The 18,359-nt window shown below is 45.0% G+C and overlaps 2 protein-coding genes across 11 annotated transcripts in view, besides 5 other annotated features; one reads left to right on the forward strand and one right to left on the reverse strand.

The window, feature by feature from the left end:
- MKRN2OS (MKRN2 opposite strand) overlaps nt 1-18,359 on the reverse strand; it is a 21,224-nt gene continuing 2,865 nt past the window's right edge. The window contains exons 1-4 of one of the 9 annotated variants that reach the window (NM_001378009.1): nt 5,472-5,724; nt 3,405-3,454; nt 2,085-2,228; nt 1-658 (exon numbers count right to left, since the gene is read on the reverse strand). In NM_001378009.1, coding sequence (NP_001364938.1) covers nt 418-658; nt 2,085-2,158 — 315 coding nt within the window. In that variant the 5' untranslated portion in view covers nt 2,159-2,228; nt 3,405-3,454; nt 5,472-5,724 and the 3' untranslated portion in view covers nt 1-417. The other 8 variants (NM_001195279.2, NM_001378007.1, NM_001378011.1 and 5 more) reach the window with 8 other exon arrangements.
- Nucleotides 16,932-17,041: an enhancer, noted in NCBI's record as "active region_19442". NCBI's record gives its function as "activates an Ori minimal core promoter by ATAC-STARR-seq in GM12878 lymphoblastoid cells {active_cell/tissue: GM12878}" and the evidence as "EXISTENCE:reporter gene assay evidence [ECO:0000049][PMID:35858748]".
- Nucleotides 17,092-17,151: an enhancer, noted in NCBI's record as "active region_19443". NCBI's record gives its function as "activates an Ori minimal core promoter by ATAC-STARR-seq in GM12878 lymphoblastoid cells {active_cell/tissue: GM12878}" and the evidence as "EXISTENCE:reporter gene assay evidence [ECO:0000049][PMID:35858748]".
- MKRN2 (makorin ring finger protein 2) overlaps nt 17,312-18,359 on the forward strand; it is a 26,627-nt gene continuing 25,579 nt past the window's right edge. For both annotated transcript variants that reach the window (NM_014160.5, NM_001271707.2), the window contains exon 1: nt 17,312-17,401. In NM_014160.5, coding sequence (NP_054879.3) covers nt 17,376-17,401 — 26 coding nt within the window. In that variant the 5' untranslated portion in view covers nt 17,312-17,375. The remainder of the gene's footprint in view (nt 17,402-18,359) is intronic.
- Nucleotides 17,322-17,411: a silencer, noted in NCBI's record as "silent region_14065". NCBI's record gives its function as "represses an Ori minimal core promoter by ATAC-STARR-seq in GM12878 lymphoblastoid cells {active_cell/tissue: GM12878}" and the evidence as "EXISTENCE:reporter gene assay evidence [ECO:0000049][PMID:35858748]".
- Nucleotides 17,539-18,062: an enhancer, noted in NCBI's record as "NANOG-H3K27ac-H3K4me1 hESC enhancer chr3:12598813-12599336 (GRCh37/hg19 assembly coordinates)". NCBI's record gives its function as "activates a minimal SCP1, AML or CMV promoter by ChIP-STARR-seq in naive H9 embryonic stem cells {active_cell/tissue: H9 hESC(naive)}" and the evidence as "EXISTENCE:reporter gene assay evidence [ECO:0000049][PMID:30033119]".
- Nucleotides 17,972-18,031: an enhancer, noted in NCBI's record as "active region_19444". NCBI's record gives its function as "activates an Ori minimal core promoter by ATAC-STARR-seq in GM12878 lymphoblastoid cells {active_cell/tissue: GM12878}" and the evidence as "EXISTENCE:reporter gene assay evidence [ECO:0000049][PMID:35858748]".

Raw genomic sequence — 18,359 nt, forward strand, 5'->3', positions numbered from 1 at the left:
TTTTTATTTTTTATTTTTTATTTTTTTGAGATGGAGTTTCACTCTTGTTGCCCAGGCTGGAGTGCAATGGCACGATCTCAACTCATCCCAACCTCCGCCTCCCGGGTTCAAGCGATTCTCCTGCTTCAGCCTCCCTAGTAGTTGGGATTACAGGCATGCGCCACCATGCCCAGCTAATTTTATATTTTTAGTAAGGACGGGGTTTCTCCATGTTGGTCAGGCTGGTCTCAAACTCCCAACCTCAGGTGACCTACCTGTCTTAGCTTCCCAAAGTGCTGGGATTACAGGTGTGAGCCACCATGCCCGGCCCATACACGCTTTTATTAACCACAGTTAAATGCATTTAGAAATCCATAGTACTGATTAAAGGTAGCAACCACCCTACCCTCCAGCGTCCAGGCTGCGCTTACATAGCTCTCAGCACAAACCGCCGCCCTCAGGGGGTTGTGCCTGCTGCTGGGGACAGTCAGTGACGTAGAAGCCATGCTCCCGTATCGCCCGGTAGAGTGTGATGAACTTGGATGCCAGCCTTGTCCGCGGGACCACGTACTTCTCCGTAAATTCACCCTTGTCCAGTTGCTGTCTACCTTCTGCCATCAGAACGCAGTTAATGAACGTGAGTGCGTAAGAGTAGCAGTTATGGTGGTTGTCTTCATACCTTATGGAGGAGAATAAGGGTGTTGAGAAGAAAAGGCTGCTCAGAACAGGCTGTCAAGCTACTGAAGGCCTTTCCTAACTGAAATCGGGTGCCTCAGCAAGCAAGGCCCCTGCATGTGCTGGCTTATGTGGTTAAGAAGCTTCAAGATGTGCACTTCAGGCCGGGTGCGGTGGCTCACACCTGTAATCCCAGCACTTTGGGAAGCGAGGGTGGGAGGATCACTTGAGGTCAAGAGTTCGAAACTGGCCTGGCCAACATGGTGAAACCCCGTCCCTACAAAAAATACAAGTTAGCTGGGCATGGTGGTGCACGCCTGTTGTCCCAGCTACTTGGGAGGCTGAGGCAGGAGAATTGTTTGAACCGGCGGGAGGCAGAGGTTGCAGTAAGCCAAGATCGCACCACTGTACTCCAGCCTGGGTGACAGAGTGAGTAAGACTCCATCTCAAAAAAAAAAAAAAAAAAAAATGCAATTCTGGGGGATGCTTGGTCTCTTGGGCCGTTTCTGCTTGCTGCAGATTGGCATAGACTCACCCAGATGTTCAGAGTGGTTACTCAGTTGCAAGTTAACTACCAATTTGGGGAACTTATTGAACTTCTAGAGTTTAGAGATGGAATTCCATATGAGTTTTATGATATTCCATAGTATCTAAACTTATTTCGGGGGAAACCTCCAAATAATTTAAATCCACAAACATGCTATACGTCTTACAAAATGTTGAGAGTGAGAAATTAACTGGAAATTGCTAAAATTACAAAAAAGAAGCTTTTACATTTTGAACATTGGTTTTTGTGTTTTTTTGTTTTTGGTGAGACGAAGTCTTACTCTCTTGCCCAGGCTGGAGTGCAATCGTGTGATTTCAGCTCACTGCAACCTCCGCCTCTTGGTTCAAGTGATTCTCCTGCCCAAGCCTCCCAAGTAGGGACTACAGACGTCCACCACCACGCCTGGCTATTTTTGTATTTTTAATAGAGACGGGGTTTTACCATGTTGTCCAGGCTGGTCTCGAACTTCTGACCTCAGGTGATCTACCTGCCTCAGTCTCCCAAAGTGCTGGGATTACAGGCGAGAGCCATTGTGCCCAGCCTGAATATTGTTTTTTTTAATTTTTAAGGAAATATAATATCGTGACTTGCTATTTATGTGTAAAAATACCTTGTCACATAACTAAAATAACTGAATACAGGTTCTAGACCTTTCAGCTCTTACAACGCTGTGATTTTGTTGTATGTGTATGCTGACCCACCTCTGCAGAAAACCTAGGGTAGTTCAACCTCTGTTTAAATTCTGTTAGAGATGCTAATATGTCTGTATCGGCTCAACATGAAGCTAAGTGCTGCTGAGTCCTCTGTGAGCTGAGGCTACACGGGGATCCCACTTGCATAGCATGTGAGTGTCAGCGAGGGGGCAGCATTTGCAGTCGTGTACCTGTGAGGCAGCCAGGCCCCCGAGGTGGAGAAGTCTTCCAGGTACTTGTCCCATTGCTCCATCATTCCATACATGTTGGGCTGCAGTAATGGGATGCTTATGCTCTCTTCCCACCCTTCTCCGTCTCGCTGGACACCATGTGCACTGTAATTATACACAACCCCTGCAAATCAAAACCAAAGTCATGTGGAGCCCCAAGGAAACACACACCTCTGTGAAAAAGAGACATCAGAAAATGACAGTAGCCATGTGGTAACTTTACGTAACATAAATCCAGGGTGGAGGTTCTAGAATCTTCCATCCACCTAATGAGATTTAGATTTGCCTACAGTCATGGAGGGATTTTTGTAGCCTTCCCTGTTATCAGCAATCATTTCCTTGAGAGAAACCCAGTTCTAGCTCTACCTGCTGTTGAGGGCTGTGAAGTTGCCCCCAGGAAACAGAGACAATGATAGGCACCAGGATCATCATCTCCAATATTTTTATTGAAGTTCTCTATTTACCAATGGGTCAATCTTGTTTCCTTAAATCAGGAATAAATTTCCACCTGCTAAAGATGAGTGGTAAGTATGACTGTTCTTGTGGGTAACTAAGTCCAGAACTGTTCTGGGTTTCTGATCACAGTATCAGTTTCTCTTGCCTCAGCGGGTAAGGAAAGGCTGTTATTAGACTTCACCTGTGAGGCCTGGGTAGGTGCCTCACCTGCCTCACCATATCCAGGCTACACATCCTGCAGGTGGCTCCACCCAGGACCTTTTCCTGCAGACAAGAAAGCTTCTGGCTGAAGGGTTGCACACTGCCCTCAGAGCTATAGGTGGCCAAAGGAAGTTTTGTTTAATCTTCACTTTCCTTAAAAAAAAAAAAAAAAAAAAAAACACTGCAGGCCCCACCACATCCTGCTTTACTCCTGACGTCCCTAGAATGTGGGGACCCAGTGGTAGTCGGCTGAGCATAGGATTGGAAGTCAGAGGGCCTGGTTCCAAATTCTGCTTCAGACACAAGATGGGAGGTCTTGGGCAAGTCAATCTCACTGGACATCTATTTCTTCCTCTTTTAAAAACCAATAAAAAATGTACAGGTTTGTGAGGCTCCTCACTGAGAAAACGTTAAAGAGCTTTCAAATATTTTGTATTGTTAGTGATAATTTGCCATAAAGTCAAATATTTCTCATTTGTGGGCAATGCCTACCTCATGGTGCAGTACAAGAACCCAGTGAACAATGGAATCACTTATTAGATGTTGCCATAATCAAATCTCCACAAATACTGCTTTCCTTTTGCTGGGTAGTAGGGGTTTTTTAAGCTACAAAACTGCACTTACCATTTGTGTTAGTTATTCCAACATGAAGATCAGACCTTCCATCATACTCTCTGAAAGAAACAAGGTTTGTTTTTTTTTGGTTTGCATGTATTTGGCATGAAGAATTGGCATTTAAAGTAGGAGGATGCCGAGCACAGTGGCTTAGACCTGTAATCCCAGCACTTTGGGAGGCCAAGGCGGGCAGATCACTTGAGGCCAGGAGTTTGAGACCAGCCTGGCCAACATGGCAAGACCCCATCTCTACTAAAAATACAAAAATTAGCCAGGTGTGTTAGTGTGCATCTGTGATCCCAGCTACTCGGGAGGTTGAGGCACAAGAATAGCTTGAACCCGGGAGGTGGAGATTGCAGTGAGCCATGATCGCACCACTGCACTCCACCCTGGGGGATAGAACGAGAGTCTGTCCAAGAAAATAAATAGAGCCAGCTGGATGCAGTGGCTCACGCCTGTAATCTCAGCACTTTGGGAGGCTGAGGTGGGAGGATCTTTTGAGGCCAGGAGTTCGAGACCAGCCTGGAAAACATTGCGAAACCTCGTCTCTACTAAAAAATAAAATACAAAAATTAGCTGGGCATGGTGGAGGGCACCTGTAATCCCAGCTACTCGGATGACTGAGACACGAGAATCGCTTGAACCTGGGAGGCGGAGGTGGCAGTGAGCCGAGATTGCACCACTGCACTCCACCCTGGGCAACAGAGTAAGACCCTGGTCTCAAAAAAAAAAAAAAAAATAACAGTTTTAATCTTTGTTTTACAGATAAGGAACCAGAGATACCTGGAGCTGGTTAAAAGAACCAGGATAGGAATCAGGGGCTTTATGACGCCAGAGCCTGTAATGTCCTTTCTGCGTTGGCTGCCTCCCTGAGCAAGGCCCAGGGATGCTGTCTATTTAGCACCTAACAGTATGACCAAAACCTTTTACATACTTTGGTTCATTTAATCCTCATAGGGACCAGAAGGAAATTAAGGAAGTTAGTAGGCAGGAAGGTGAGTAGTCAACTCCCATTTTCTTATTCAAAACCAGCACTCTTGAGGGGACAGGAAGTTAGGAGGGTAAACTCTAGGGAGCATTAGACTAATGATACGCAGGAGCTGAACATATTTCCTAAAGCATACACCAACATTCTATGACCCATGCTCACCTAAAGCCTGGCTTATGCTGGGCCGATCCTAATCCTATTGGTAAACTCCACGGGGACAATAAAATATAAACCTGGCGGGGCACAGTGGCTGATGCCTGTAATCCCACCACTCTGGGAGGCTGAGGCAGGTGGATCACCTGAGGTCAGGAATTTGAGCCCAGCCTGGCCAACATGGTGAAACCCCGTCTCTACTAAAAATACAAAAATTAGCCGGGTGTGGTGGTGGGCGCCTGTAATCCCAGCTACTCGGGAGCCTGAGGCAGGCTCCCGAAAATCGCTTGAACCCGGGAGGTGGAGGTTGCAGTAAGCTGAGACACCATTGCACTCCAGCCTGGGCAACAAGAGCGAAACTCTGTCTCGGGGAAAAAAAAAAGGTATAATCCTTTCTTTTGCTTTCTAATTCATCCTTTTTGTTTATGCTAGCGCTCTCAGCAAGAGAGAACTGAATTTGTTCTTAAAGCCAGGTGGTGTCTACAGTGGAAATAGATCAGTTCTAGTCTTCAGTTTAATTTGCCTCCATACAAAATAGTCTGCAAGTGCCCGTTCATCGGGCCCTGTAGGTTGTACCTGTTTGTCACTGAAACTACAAATTAACTGACAGTAAAGGTATTATTTAGATAAGATTAGCTGCTGGGTCATTTTCCTGGTTAGCCTCTGAGCACATATTTTTCTCTCTGAAAATCATATGAGCAGGTTTACTCTTCATATATTCCACATATATTCTTGCACTTGTCACTGCAGGAACATATGCACACCATCTGTTTTTATGAAGCCAGTAGGACTGCATCTCAGGATTTAAAGCCAAAGCACCGAAAAAATTGTCCACCAAACCTCACACATTATGTATTAAGAAAAGGAAACTTTAGTGACTAAAACAGAAGGAAAAGTTTGCACAATGCAATTTAACACTGTAAAAAACACTGTACCTAAGAAATGTCCCCTGAGTTGGTCTGAGGAGGAATGAACATTTTTCTTGATGTCCATTAGTAAATGGATTAGCGATGCTAACAGGTGCGTCCTCCAGCTTCCTCGAGCCCAGGTCCTGCTGGCAGAGAGGGCAGCACTGGGGCACACTGAAGCTGTAGATGTATTTCTCACAGTGGTTGAATTTAATTAAAGCCTTCCCAGCCTCTGCGCAGTGCATAGCTTTCGCCTCCTGGAATGCTAGGGGAGGTTTCCGGAGACTTCCTTTTCCTCATTATACACCTGGCGAATGCACACCGCCCCAAGGAACCTGATCAATGGTGATGTCATCCTGACTGATGGCTTCAGAAGCCAAACCAGATAGGATTAACCAGTAGCCAGGCCTCCCCATAGACTGTATCTTAAAGAGCTAGTTTCTATTTGTTTATTTCCATTGTTTATGGTAACTGATAACTGCCAGCTCCTATTCATCCTTTAAAGCCTCACTTTTCTGTGGAAGTTTTGTCAGCTTCCCCCAGTCTTCCCTTGCAGTGGCAGCGCTGGATTCATATTTCCGTCAGAACTCTTATTTATTTATTTAGAGACAGGGTCTCACTCTGTCACCCAAGCTAGAGTGCAGTGGCACGATCTTGGCTCACTGCAACCTCCACCCTCAGGTTCAAGTGATTCTCCCCACTCAGCCTCCCGGAGTAGCTGGGACTACAGACACACGCCACTATACCCAACTAATTGTTGTGTTTTTTGGTAGAGATGGGGGTTTCACCATGTTGGCCAGGCTGGACTTGAAGAGGCCTTCCTCAGCCTCCCAAAGAGCTGGAATTACACGCATGAGCCACTGCACCAAGCCTAGAACTGTTATTTAATCATTTAGTTTTGTTTCTCCCGTTAGTCTGTGAGCTTCTTGAAATTGGAGACCTTTACTTTTGTGTTCCCAGAATTGGTTAGATCATTTGTTGTTGCATAAATAAATCCTTATTTAAGGCTATTTTATTTTGACATTTTATATTATAAAAGTAATTTTGCTTATAAAAAAATTAACATCCAGAATGTTCTGGGGATTTTTTTAAAAAGTTAACAGCCCTGTTAGAAATAAGGATAGCGGTTACAGGAGGGAGATACTGACTGGGAGAGGACAGAGGTGGTTTCTCGGGTCCAGGGCTGTTGTGACTCATCTGGGTGTTAATAATATGGGAGTATTCCATTTGTGAAAAATCATCAAGCTGTGCATTTTATTATATGCAGTATATAATTTTTCAATTTTAAAATAATTTTTTAATTTTCTTATTTTTGTGGGTACATAATGGGTGTATATATTTAAAGGGTACATGGGATTTTTTTTTTTTTTTTTTTTTTTGAGACAGAGTCTCACTCTTGTCGCCAGGCTGGAGTGCAGTGGTGTGATCTCGGCTCACTGCAACCTCCGCCTCCTGGGTTCAAGTAATTCTGCCTCAGCCTCCTGAGTAGCTGGGATTACAGGTGCCCGCCACCACACCCAGCTAATTTTTGTACTTTTAGTAGAGATGGGGTTTCACCATGTCGGCCAGGCTGGTCTCAAACTCCTGACCTCAGGTGATCCTGCTGCCTCAGCCTCCCAAAGTGCTGGGATTACAGGCGTGAGCCACCGCACCCAGCCTACATGGGATATTTTGATACAGGCATACAATGTGCAATAATCACATCAGGGTAGATGGGGTGTACAATTTAAAAATAATTTTTAGCTAGGTGTGCTGGTGCACGCCTGTAGTCCCAGTTACTCAGGTGGCTGAGATGGGAGGAGTGCTTGAGCCTGGAAGGTCGAGGGTGCCTTGAGCCAAGATCATCCCACTGTGCTCTAGCCTGGGCGACAGAGTGGGACCCTGTCTCTAAATAAATAAATAAATAAATAAAATAAGCAATTCCATAAAAATATTTGGAAAAAAAGTAATGCCCCTTGTTTCTCACATAACATTTCCACCCACCATATTCTACTTTCTGGAGAAAATTAATGGTATGTTAGATTCTTTTAAAGCTCAATATTGGCTGGGCATGGTGGCTCACACCTATAATCCCAGCACTTTGGGAGGCTGAGGCAGGTGGATCGCTTGAGCCCAGGAGTTCAAGACCAGCCTGGGCAACATGACAAGACTTCATCTCTACAAAAAATACAAAAATTAGCCAGATTTGGTGGTGTGTACCTGTAGTCCCAGCTACTTGGGAGGCTGAGGTGGGAGGACTGCTTGAGCCCATGAGGTCTTGGCTGCAGTGAGCCATTATCACACCACTGTACCCAGCTTGGGTGACAAGAGAAAAACAGAACAAAACAAAAACCCTCAATATTGTTATATTGTATACTGTTTTGAAATTTGTGTTTTTGCCTCATCTTGGAAACTTTTCCACAATATCAGTGATACAGGTCTAGTTCATTTCAGATTTCATGGGAACCCACATTTTGGTTGTACTACACTTTAACCAAGGCCTAATTGATGCCTGTAATTCCAAAGATAAGCAGTCTTAAGGGGGAGACCCACAGAGAAGGTGTCATGGCAGGTAAAGGCACTTCAGGAGGGTTAAGTATTTCACAATGTACATTTAAATAAATTACAGTATGCTGAAATGCAGAAAAGTGCATCTCCAGTGTTATAACATGAGAATGATCATCAGACTCACAGAACTAGAAAGGACCTCAGAAATCATTTCAACCAACCTTCTCTTGTTACAGTGAAGGCAGAGAGGTTATAGCTAGACACTCAGCTCAGGTGACAAAGACCTGAGATTGTTCATTATTAATACAAACCACATGGTACGGCCGGGCGCAGTGGCTCACGCCTGAAATCCCAGCACTTTGGGAGGCCAAGGCAGGTTAATCACCTGAGGTCGGGAGTTCAAGACCATCCTGACCAATATGGTGAAACCCCGTCTCTACTAAAATTACAATAATTAGCCGGTCGGGCGCGGTGGCTCACGCCTGTAACCCCAGCACTTTGGGAGGCCGAGGCGGGTGGATCACGAGGTCAGGAGATCGAGACCATCCTGGCTGACACGGTGAAACCTCGTCTGTACTAAAAATACAAAAAATTAGCCGGGCACGGTGGCGGGTGTCTGCAGTCCCAGCTACTCGGGAGGCTGAGGCAGGAGAATGGCGTGAACCCGGGAGGCGGAGCTTGCAGTGAGCCGAGATCGCGCCACTGCACTCCAGCCTGGGCGACAGAGCGAGACTCCGTCTCAAAAAAAAAAAAAAAAAAAAAAAAAAAAAAAAAAACCAGCCGAGCGTGGTGGCAGACATCTGTAGTCCCACCTACTTGGGAGGCTGAGACAGGAGAATCGCTTGAACCCAGGAGGCGGAGGTTGCAGTGAGCTGTGACTGCACCATTGCACTCCAGCCTGGGCTCCAGAGCGAAACTCTGTCTCAAATAAATACATAAATAAACCACATGGTATTGTTTGTTAGGTTGCTTCAGTGACCCAAGCCACTTTAAATTGAGAATATAATCTTTCTGACACCAACACCAAGAGGTATTGTTAATCTCATGAAAAGGGATTGAGGCACCATGCTTTAATAAACATTTTAAATATACCAGCATTTTTTTTCAACACAAGCATCTTCAATCCTTTTTTACCTTTTCTCTATCTTAATCTTGTTATAAAATAAAACATAGACACAGAAAACTACATAAATTGTAGTTTTTAAAAGATTTTTAAAGGCATTTTATTTTTTATTTTATTTTATTTGAGACGGAATCTCACTCTGTCGCCTAGGCTGGAGTGCAGTGGCGTGATCTTGCCTCACTGCAACCTCCACCTCCCAGGTTGAAGCGATCCCTTTGCCTCAGCCTCCCAAGTAGCTGAGACTACAGGCACCCACCATCACACCTGACTAATTTTTTGTATTTTTAATAGAGATGGGGTTTCTATATTCTAATAGAGTTGGCCAGGCTGGTCTTGAACTCCTGACCTTGTGATCTGCCCACCTCGGCCTCCCAAAGTGCTGGGATTACAGAAGTGAGCCACCACACCTGGCCTATGTTATTTATTTGTTTGTTTGTTTGTTTATGAGATGGAGTCTTGCTCCATTTCCCAGGCTGGAATCTCAGCTCACTGCAGCCTCCATCTCCTGGGTTCAAGCGGTTCTCCTGCCTTAGCCTCCCAAGTAACTTGGATTACAGGTATGCACCACTGCACCTGTCTAATTTTGTATTTTTAGTAGATATGGGGTTTCACCATGTTGGCCAGGCTGGTCTCAAACTCCTGACCTCAAGTGATCCAGCCACCTCAGCCTCCCAAAGTGCTGGTATTACAGTTGTGAGCCACCACACCCAGCCTGTTTTGTTTTATTTTATTTTTTGAGACAGGGTCTTGCTCTGTCACCCACGTTGGAGTGCAGTGGTGCAATCAGTGCTCATTGCAGCCTCAAACTTCTGGGCTCAAGGGATCCTCCCACTTCAGCCTCCCAATCAGCTGGAACTACAGATGCATAACACCACAGCTGGCTAATATTTTAATTTTAATTTTTATAGAGACAGGGTCTTGTTATGTTGCCCAGGCTTGTCTTGAACTCCTGGACTCAAGTGATCCTCCTACATCAGGCTCACAAAATGCTGGGATTATAGGTAGCGCCCTGTAATTTTGGCTTGAAGAACTCCTTTTAGTATTTCTTATAGGGCAAGTTTTCTAGTGATGAACTCTCACCTAGTAGAATGGCTAAAATCCAAAACACTGAGAATACCAAATACTGGAGAGGATGTGGAGCAACAGGAACTCTCATTGCTGGTGGGAATGCAAAATGGTATAGTGATTTGGAAAATAGTCTGCCAGTTTATTACAAAACTCAACAAACTCTTACAATATGACCCAGAAATTGTGCTCTTTGGTATTTACCCAAATGAATGAAAACCTACGTCCACACAAAAACCTGCACATAGACGTTTACAGCAGCTTCATTCATAATTGCTAATACTTGGAAGCAACCAAGATGTCCCTCAGCAGGCGAATGGAAAAACTGGTACATCCAGACAAGGGACTATTGTTCAGTGCCAAAAAGAAGCAAGATACCAAGCCATGAAAGACATGGAGGAAACTTAAATGCATATCACTGAGTGGAAGAAGCCAATCTAAAAAGGCTGTATACGGTATGACTCCCAACTATATGAAACTGTGGAAAAGGCAAAACTGCTGAGACAGGAAAAAGATCAGTGGTTGACGGAAGGGAGGGATAAATAGGCAGAGTACAGAGAATTTTTAGGGCGGTGAAACTACTGTAATATGTCATTATACATTTGTCAAAACCCATAGAGTAAGCCTGGGCAAAATAGCAAGACCCCATCTCTACAAAAAAATTTTTAAAACCTAGCCAGGCACTTGTCCTCCAAAATGCCCACTTGGCCCTCTTCCAAGTATATTTTACTTTCTTTTCATTCCTGCTCTGAAGCTTTTTAATAAACTTTCACTGCTGCTGTAAAACTTGCCTCAGTCTCTTTTTCTGCCTTATGCCCCTCAGTCGAATTCTTTCTTCTGAGGAGGCAAGAATTGAGGTTGCTGCAGGCCGGTACGGATTCACTGCCGGTAACTCGGACACCTGCCACCGGTAACATATTTTGTTATGTTGGGTTATATGTGTTGGGTAACTCAGATAACTTCCTCTACTAACATAGTTTGCTGTGTGACTCGAATACATTCCCTAGTGGGTACATATCCATTTGATTCCTTAAAGGAAAGTGTACCATTCCAGTCAAAGCTTTGGTAAAATAACCAGTTTCTTTACAGTATCAGTAATACAGGTCTAGTTCATTCTTTCAGATTGCATAGGAATCCACCCATCGGTGGGACATGACAGAGGCAAAATCCTGCCCCTGTCTCCTTTGGACTTGGTTACATACCGCTTTCACCAACCCAAGGAGCCACCCTCCTGCCCTGACAGCAAGTGGCCAAGACCCACAAAATGAGCACCACCACCCCTCTGTCATTACACTTTATTAAAAAAAAAAAAAAAAGCCCGGGCACAATGGCTCACGCCTGTAATCCCAGCACTTTGGGAGGCTGAGGTGGGTGGATCACTTGAGGCCAGGAGTTTTGAGACCAGCCTGGCCAAAATGGTGAAACCTCATCTCTACAAAAAACACAAAAATTAGCCCGGGTGTGATGGTACGCACCTGTGGTTCCAGCTACTCGGGAGGCTGAGGCAGGAGAATCACTTAAACCTGGGAGGCGAAGGCTGTGGTGAGCCAAGATTGTGCCTCTGCACTCCAGCCTGGGCAACAGAGCAAGACTCCATCTCAAAAAAAAAAAAAGTGTATTACCAATAAAGAAAAAACTGTAGAATAATGGAAAATAATCCAAAGGAATACACGAAAGGATAAATAAAGAACAAATAACAGATTATGTGAATAGAAAATAAACATATTTCAATGAAGGATTTATTAAGAAAAAAAATCAAGGCCAGGCATAGTGGGTCACACCTGTAATCCCAGCACTTTGGGAGGCCAAGTTGGGCAGATCACCTGAGGTCAGGAGTTCGAGACCAGCCTGGCCAATATGGTGAAACCCCGTCTCTACTAAAAATACAAAAACACAAAAATTATCCTGGCGTGTTGGCACATGGCTGTAGTCCCAGCTATTCCAGAGACTGAGGCAGGAGATTCGCTTGAACCCGGGAGGTGGAGGTTGCAGAGTTGAGATCACACCATTGCACTCCAGCCTGGGAGACAGAGTGAGACTCTGTCTCAGAAAAAAGAAAAAAAAATCAAGATGATACATTTAAATCCAGCTATATTACATTTAGTGTAAATGGACTAAATGCTCCGATACAAAAAACAAAGAAGGCTGGGCACGGTGGCTCACGCCTGTAATCCCAGCACTTTGGGAGGCCGAGGCAGGTGAATCACCAAGTCAGGAGTTCAAGACCAGCCTGGCCAAGATAGTGAAACCCTGTCTCTACTAAAAATACAAAAAATTAGCTGGGCGGGGTGGTGGGCGCCTGTAATCCCAGCTACTTGGAAGGCTGAAGCAGAGAATTGCTTGAACCCTGGAGGCGGAGGTTGCAGTGAGCTGAGATCGTGCCGCTGCACTTCAGCCTGAACAACAGAACAAGACCATCTCAAAAAAAAAAGCTTTCCAAAACTCCCATAAAACAATGAAATCTGAATAGCTTTATATATAAGAAAGCAATTAGATATTTTAATTTTTTTTAATTTTTAATTTTTTTTTTTTTTTAAGACGGAGTCTCACTCTGTCGTCCAGGCTGGAGTGCAATGGCGCCATCTCAGCTCACCAAAACCTCTGCCTCCCGGGTTCAAGCGATTCTCCTGCCTCAGCCTCCCGAGTAGCTGGGATTACAGGCATGCACCACCACACCTGAATAATTTTGTATCTTTAGTAGGGTCGGGGTTTCTCCATGTTGGCCAGGTTGGTCTTGAACTCCTGACCTCAGGTGATTTGCTCACCTGGGCCTCCCAAAGTGCTAGGATTACAGGTGTGAGCCACCATGCCCCACATTTAAATCTTTAATTAAAAATCATCCTGCAGGCTGGGCATGGTGGCTCATGCCTGTAATCCTAGCACTTTGGGAGGCCAAGGTGAGCAAATTTCTTGAGCTCAGGAGTTTGAAACCAGCCTGGGCAACATAGTGAGATCTCCTGTCTACAAAAAATACAAAAATTGGCCAGGAGTGGTGGAGCATGCCTGGCGCACACCTGTAGCCCCAGCTACTTGAGGGGCTGAAACCAGGAGGTGGAGGTTGCAGTGAGCCAAGATCACACCACGGCACTCCAGCCTGGGTGACAAAGTGAGACCCGGTCTCCAAAAAAAAAAAAAAAAAAAAAATCTTCCTGCACAGTAAACTGCAGGCTGAGATGGCTTCCATGGTAAATTCTTCCAGATGTTTAAGGGAAAAATTAATACCCATATTACACAGACTTTTCCAGAGGATAGAAAAGAAAGACTTCCAAACTCATTTTATGAGACCAGCATATCCCAGATACCAGCACCTGGCATGGACATTATAAGAAAGGAACACTACAGACTAATATCTCTCATACACAAGGATGCAAAAATTCTAAACACAATTTTAACAAATAGATGATTTATAGAAAATATATCATGGCCATGTGGGGTTTATCCTGAGCAATTGGGTAGGGTTAACATTAAAAATCAATCAGTATAATTCAATACATTACCAGTATAAAAGGGAAAAACAATATAGGTTTCTCAATACATGCAAAAAAAAAAGTGATAAAAGTCAAGATGTGTTCATGGTAAAAATGCTAATAAAACTAGAAAGAAACTTTCTTAATTTGGCAATGGATAGCCTAAAAAAATCTAGGGCTAACATTTTAATTAAAATATTAAATAATTTTAAAGTAAAATATTAAATATTTTTATTGAATCCAGGAACAAAATAAGATGTACACTATTACTACTTCTCTTTAACATTGTTCTGAAGGCTGTAGACAGTGCATGCAATAAGGCAAGGAAAAGAAATAAAAGATACAAAGATGAAAAGGAAGCAAAACTGTCATTATTTGCTGATGGCGTGATTGTGTATAGAAAATCGATAACTAACTACAAATAAACCATTAGAATTAATTCAAAATTTAGCATGGAGCTGAATCCCAAGTCAGTATACAAAGATCCAGTGTATTTCTATATATAAGCAACAAGCAATTCGGAAATTTTAGGAATATCATTTAAAATAGCATCGAAAACCGCTTCTAGGGGCAGGTCGGCACACAAAGAAAACGAAAGCTTTGCAAGACCCTCGGCGCACGTCTGCGCAAAGGGTCTCTGTGTCTCTACGCCCAGATGGCCATTTTGAGTCCCGAGCTGGCAGCCACCCTTCTCTTCTGTTTTCTCAGCTTCTTCACCCGCTTCTATCTGATAGCCTTTTTCTCCCGAGTGTTTGGTAGCAAAGTTGCTTTTCCTAAGGGGCGAGAACGGGAGCTGGTGGTTAGCAAGCAGACGCAGTTTTACGCGCCCCTGCTACGGGCAGGAGCGAGTGGCCCTGCCTTCTCTGCCAGCGCGGGTTCCCTGGGGGTGAGGAAAGTGAGTTCCACGTCCCGGGTGGGGCAGGACTTGGTGTTTAGTGCCCAGCGCCAGATAACGCCGGAAGAACCCCAAGTGGAGACTGCTTGCATCCTTCGGGAAAAGTCTAAGTGCTAAGTACCATGACAGTGGCAGGAACCAAGCTGTTGGGTACAGCTTGTGGAAGTGCACACTGGCTGTCGTTGATCCAGTGTTGTATTATTTTTTCATAAATATATATGAAATATATGAAATATATATGAAATATAAAAATATATATATATATTGCCCATGACACAGACCTCAGGAGATCCTGAGAACATGTGCCCGATCCAGTGTTTTATTTGCACAGACACCCTAAAGGGCACCAGCAGTACAAGGCTGATGAAATAACTTATGGCATAGTCGTACAACGGAATACTATACAGTTCTACGAAAGGAGGAAGAGGCTCTATGTACTGATATGGAAAAATCTCCACTGATTATGTACGCTGTGCAGAACAGTACGTTATGTTATCTTTTCTACAAAAAGGAGAAAATAATATATATGTATTTACTTGTGTATATTTAAAGAAATTCTGGAAAGATGTATACAAATTTGATAACAGTGGCCAGGTTTTGAGGTTTTAAAAAATGTTTCTGCTTTTTGTTTTGAAGAGGCGGGAACTAAATTGACAGGAGACTGAGACTTTTCACTTTACGCTTTTAAAATATTTGAACATAATAACGTTCAGATCGTGAATGTATTCCATAAAGAATGAGATAAGCTGAATTTTAAAAATAAGTGGCATGGGCTGGGCGCGGTGGCTCTCGCCCGTAATCCCAGCACTTTGGGAGGCCGAGGCGGGTGGATTGCCTGAGCTCAGAAGTTCGAGACCAGCCTGGGCAACAGGGTGAAACCCCGTCGCTACTAAAACACAAAAAATCAGCTGGGCGTGGCAGCGTGCGCCTGTATAATCCCAGCTACTCCGGAGGCTGAGACAGGAGAATCGCTTGAACACGGGAGGTGGAGGTTGCAGTGAGCCAAGAGCATGCCACTGCACTCCAGCCTGGGTGACAGAGCAAGACTCCGTCTCAAAAAAAAAAAAAAAAAAGACGTGTAATTTTTATGAGCATGAATTGCATGGATCAAATGTGTTATGAGTTAAAATGCAATATTCAAGACACTGAAAACAAAATTTCCAGTATACTTCCAAATTCCTGAGAAAAATTTCAAAAGTTCTAAATAATTGGAAGTATATACCATGCTCATTCATTGGAAGACTCAATATTTTTATAGCAAAGTAAAAAAAGAACATACAGCTATACATACATAACATGGAAAGATCTCACAGATAAAATGTTGGTCAAAAGAAGGCAGACAAAAGCGTAGGTACTGAATTATTATTTATATGAAAGTCAAGAACAGTTAAACTAATTTATAGTGATAGAGATGAACCCAAGCAATGACCTTTGTAAAGTATTGCCTGGGAAGGACCATAAGGAAGCCCTTCTGGGGTGTCGATAATATCCAGCCCCCACCCACCCCCTGCAGCCTCGACTGCAGTGAACTATGCTCAAAGGATCCTTCCGGCTCAACCTCTCCTTACTCCAGCATTTTGAAGTTTAGTCGAGCATGGTGTCGCGCACCTGTATTCCCAGCTGCTGGGGAGGTTAAGGCAGAGGACTGCTTGAACTATGATGGCGCCACTGCACTCCAGCCTGGGCGACAGAGCAAGACCCTGCCTCAAAACAAAACAAAAAATTCTTTATTTTGATCTGGGTGGTAGTTTCATGAGTGTATGCATGTGCAAAAATTCATAGAATGTGTTTGGTGCACTTATATTGTGCATGTTATGTATCTCGAGTTTTTAAGCAATGAGAAACCATTGTAAGATTAAAAGGTGAATGACATGATCCGATTTATGTTTTAAAAATAGATTTTTACCAGGAACGGAAGCCAGAAGACCAGTTAAAAGGCTATCGCATGGCTGGCCAGGCGTGCACGCCTGTAATTCCAGCTACGTGGAAGGCTGAGAGGCAGGAGAATCGCTTGAACCCGGGAGGCGGAGGTTGCAGTGAGCCGAGATCGCCCCACTGCACTCCAGCCTGGGCAACAAGAGAGAAACTCCGTCTCAAAAAAATAAAAAATAAAATAATAATAATTAAAAAAAAAGGTATCGCATGGTGCTAGGTAGAAGGGACGGTGGAAAGGGGGCAGAAGAGGACGCATTGGACAGAGGTGTGGGAGCAGAATCTGCAGGGTATAGAGAGCTAGAGGGAAGTGTCAAAAATAACTTTTGGGGTTTCCACCATAGGAAATGGAAGACGAGCAGCACAAGACTGGCAGGAAAGAAAATGAAGACTAAAACTTGTGGAAGTAGAGATTTGGGGAAAGAGCAGTTGGGAGAGAGCTAAGGAATTTCCTTAAGTGGGAGGCGAGGTCCGGCGGGAACAGTTGAGGCAGGGCCTGAGAAGGGTGCCCAGTGAGTGCGAGTATGAATGGATAGGGGCATCCGGGATTAAGAGGAGAGGCTGGAGTTTCCCCAGGAGTGGTGAAGTGCCTCGAAGGAGGCGGGAGATCCCTAAGGAATACTCTTGGCGATCGGGGCAGAATCGCAGGCACTAACAGTAGGCATCGGGATAAGACTGGCAGGACTAAGATGCCAGCCAGGCTCCGCCCCGGAGGCTTGGAAGTGCGGGACACCGAGAGCAGGGATGCCGGGACAGCCGGCCCGATCCCCGGTGCGGAACCAATTGTGACGACGGCTAGGTTACCCGCCGGCGCTACAAAGGTGCCACACCGGAGGGGCGGCGTGCGCCGGCGTGCGCCGGCGTGACGCGGCTACGCGGGATGGGCCGGGCCAGGGCCAAGGCCGAGGCGGCAGCGGCTGCGAGAGGCGGCGGCACGACGACGGTCCCTCAGCCCAGCCACCATGAGCACCAAGCAGATCACTTGCAGGTCAGTGCGCTGGAGCCAGGAGCTTCGGGCCGCTCCCCCAGGCCGCAGGGGGGCCGGTGCGCGCCAGTGCTGTGGTCCGGGAACCTGAGGCTAGAGCGGGACTCGGAAAGTTACTCGGCTGTTCGCGGCGGGGCTTTGCGAGGCAGAGCGAGCGCTGCCGCCACAGCCGGGGATCCGGGGGATGCGTGGCCGAGACGCTGGGCGAGGCCAGCGCGGGGGGCTACGCCCCGAGTTTGAAGCGTGGCCCCTGTGGGCTGGGAGGAAGGACGTCCTAGCCAGGGCCGTGCAGGATGCCGGGGCGCTGTCGGGAAGGCTCTGGGGCTTACGCTTTAACTGGAAAAGATTTGAAGTTGAGTAAAGGGACGCCGAGAGGACGGTTACAAATGGGGATACCACATAGGAGTAATTTGTTAATCGATTATGAGGGCCTCAAAGTTTGGAGAATCCAGATGCAATCTAAACTTGCAGAGAGTTAACAAGTAAAAGTTGTTGTGTGGAAAATAACGACAGGTAGCATATTGTGAATATCGGCGAAGCGCCCTGCATATTTCCAAGTCCTTTATATTCATTATCATCAGACTTCACAGTAAGACAACTTAGTAGTTATTATTACCATTTTACAGTGCAGGAAACTGAGACCGAAAGACGTTGACACTCATTTATCTTACTGAGAGAGCCATTTACGAGGAGAAATGCGACGGTAATGGATGGTTTATTGTAGAAAATAGCCAGATAGCTACACTACGACTGCTCCTATGAAATAGAATAGTGTGGTTGTGTAACACCCTCATTGCTTGGTCAGCTTGTGGCTTACTGGTAATGGAGTCTAGTCCTATTGAATTGTATGTTTGGAAAACGCAAATTGAATTGTATGCTTGGAAAATGCAAATTTCATTTAATAATTTTTATGGGAAACATTGCTTAAAAACAGTTATAGAGTTTGTGTAATAAACAGTTT

This window comes from Homo sapiens, chromosome 3 (assembly GCF_000001405.40).
Source record: "Homo sapiens chromosome 3, GRCh38.p14 Primary Assembly".
NCBI lineage: Eukaryota > Metazoa > Chordata > Mammalia > Primates > Hominidae > Homo > Homo sapiens.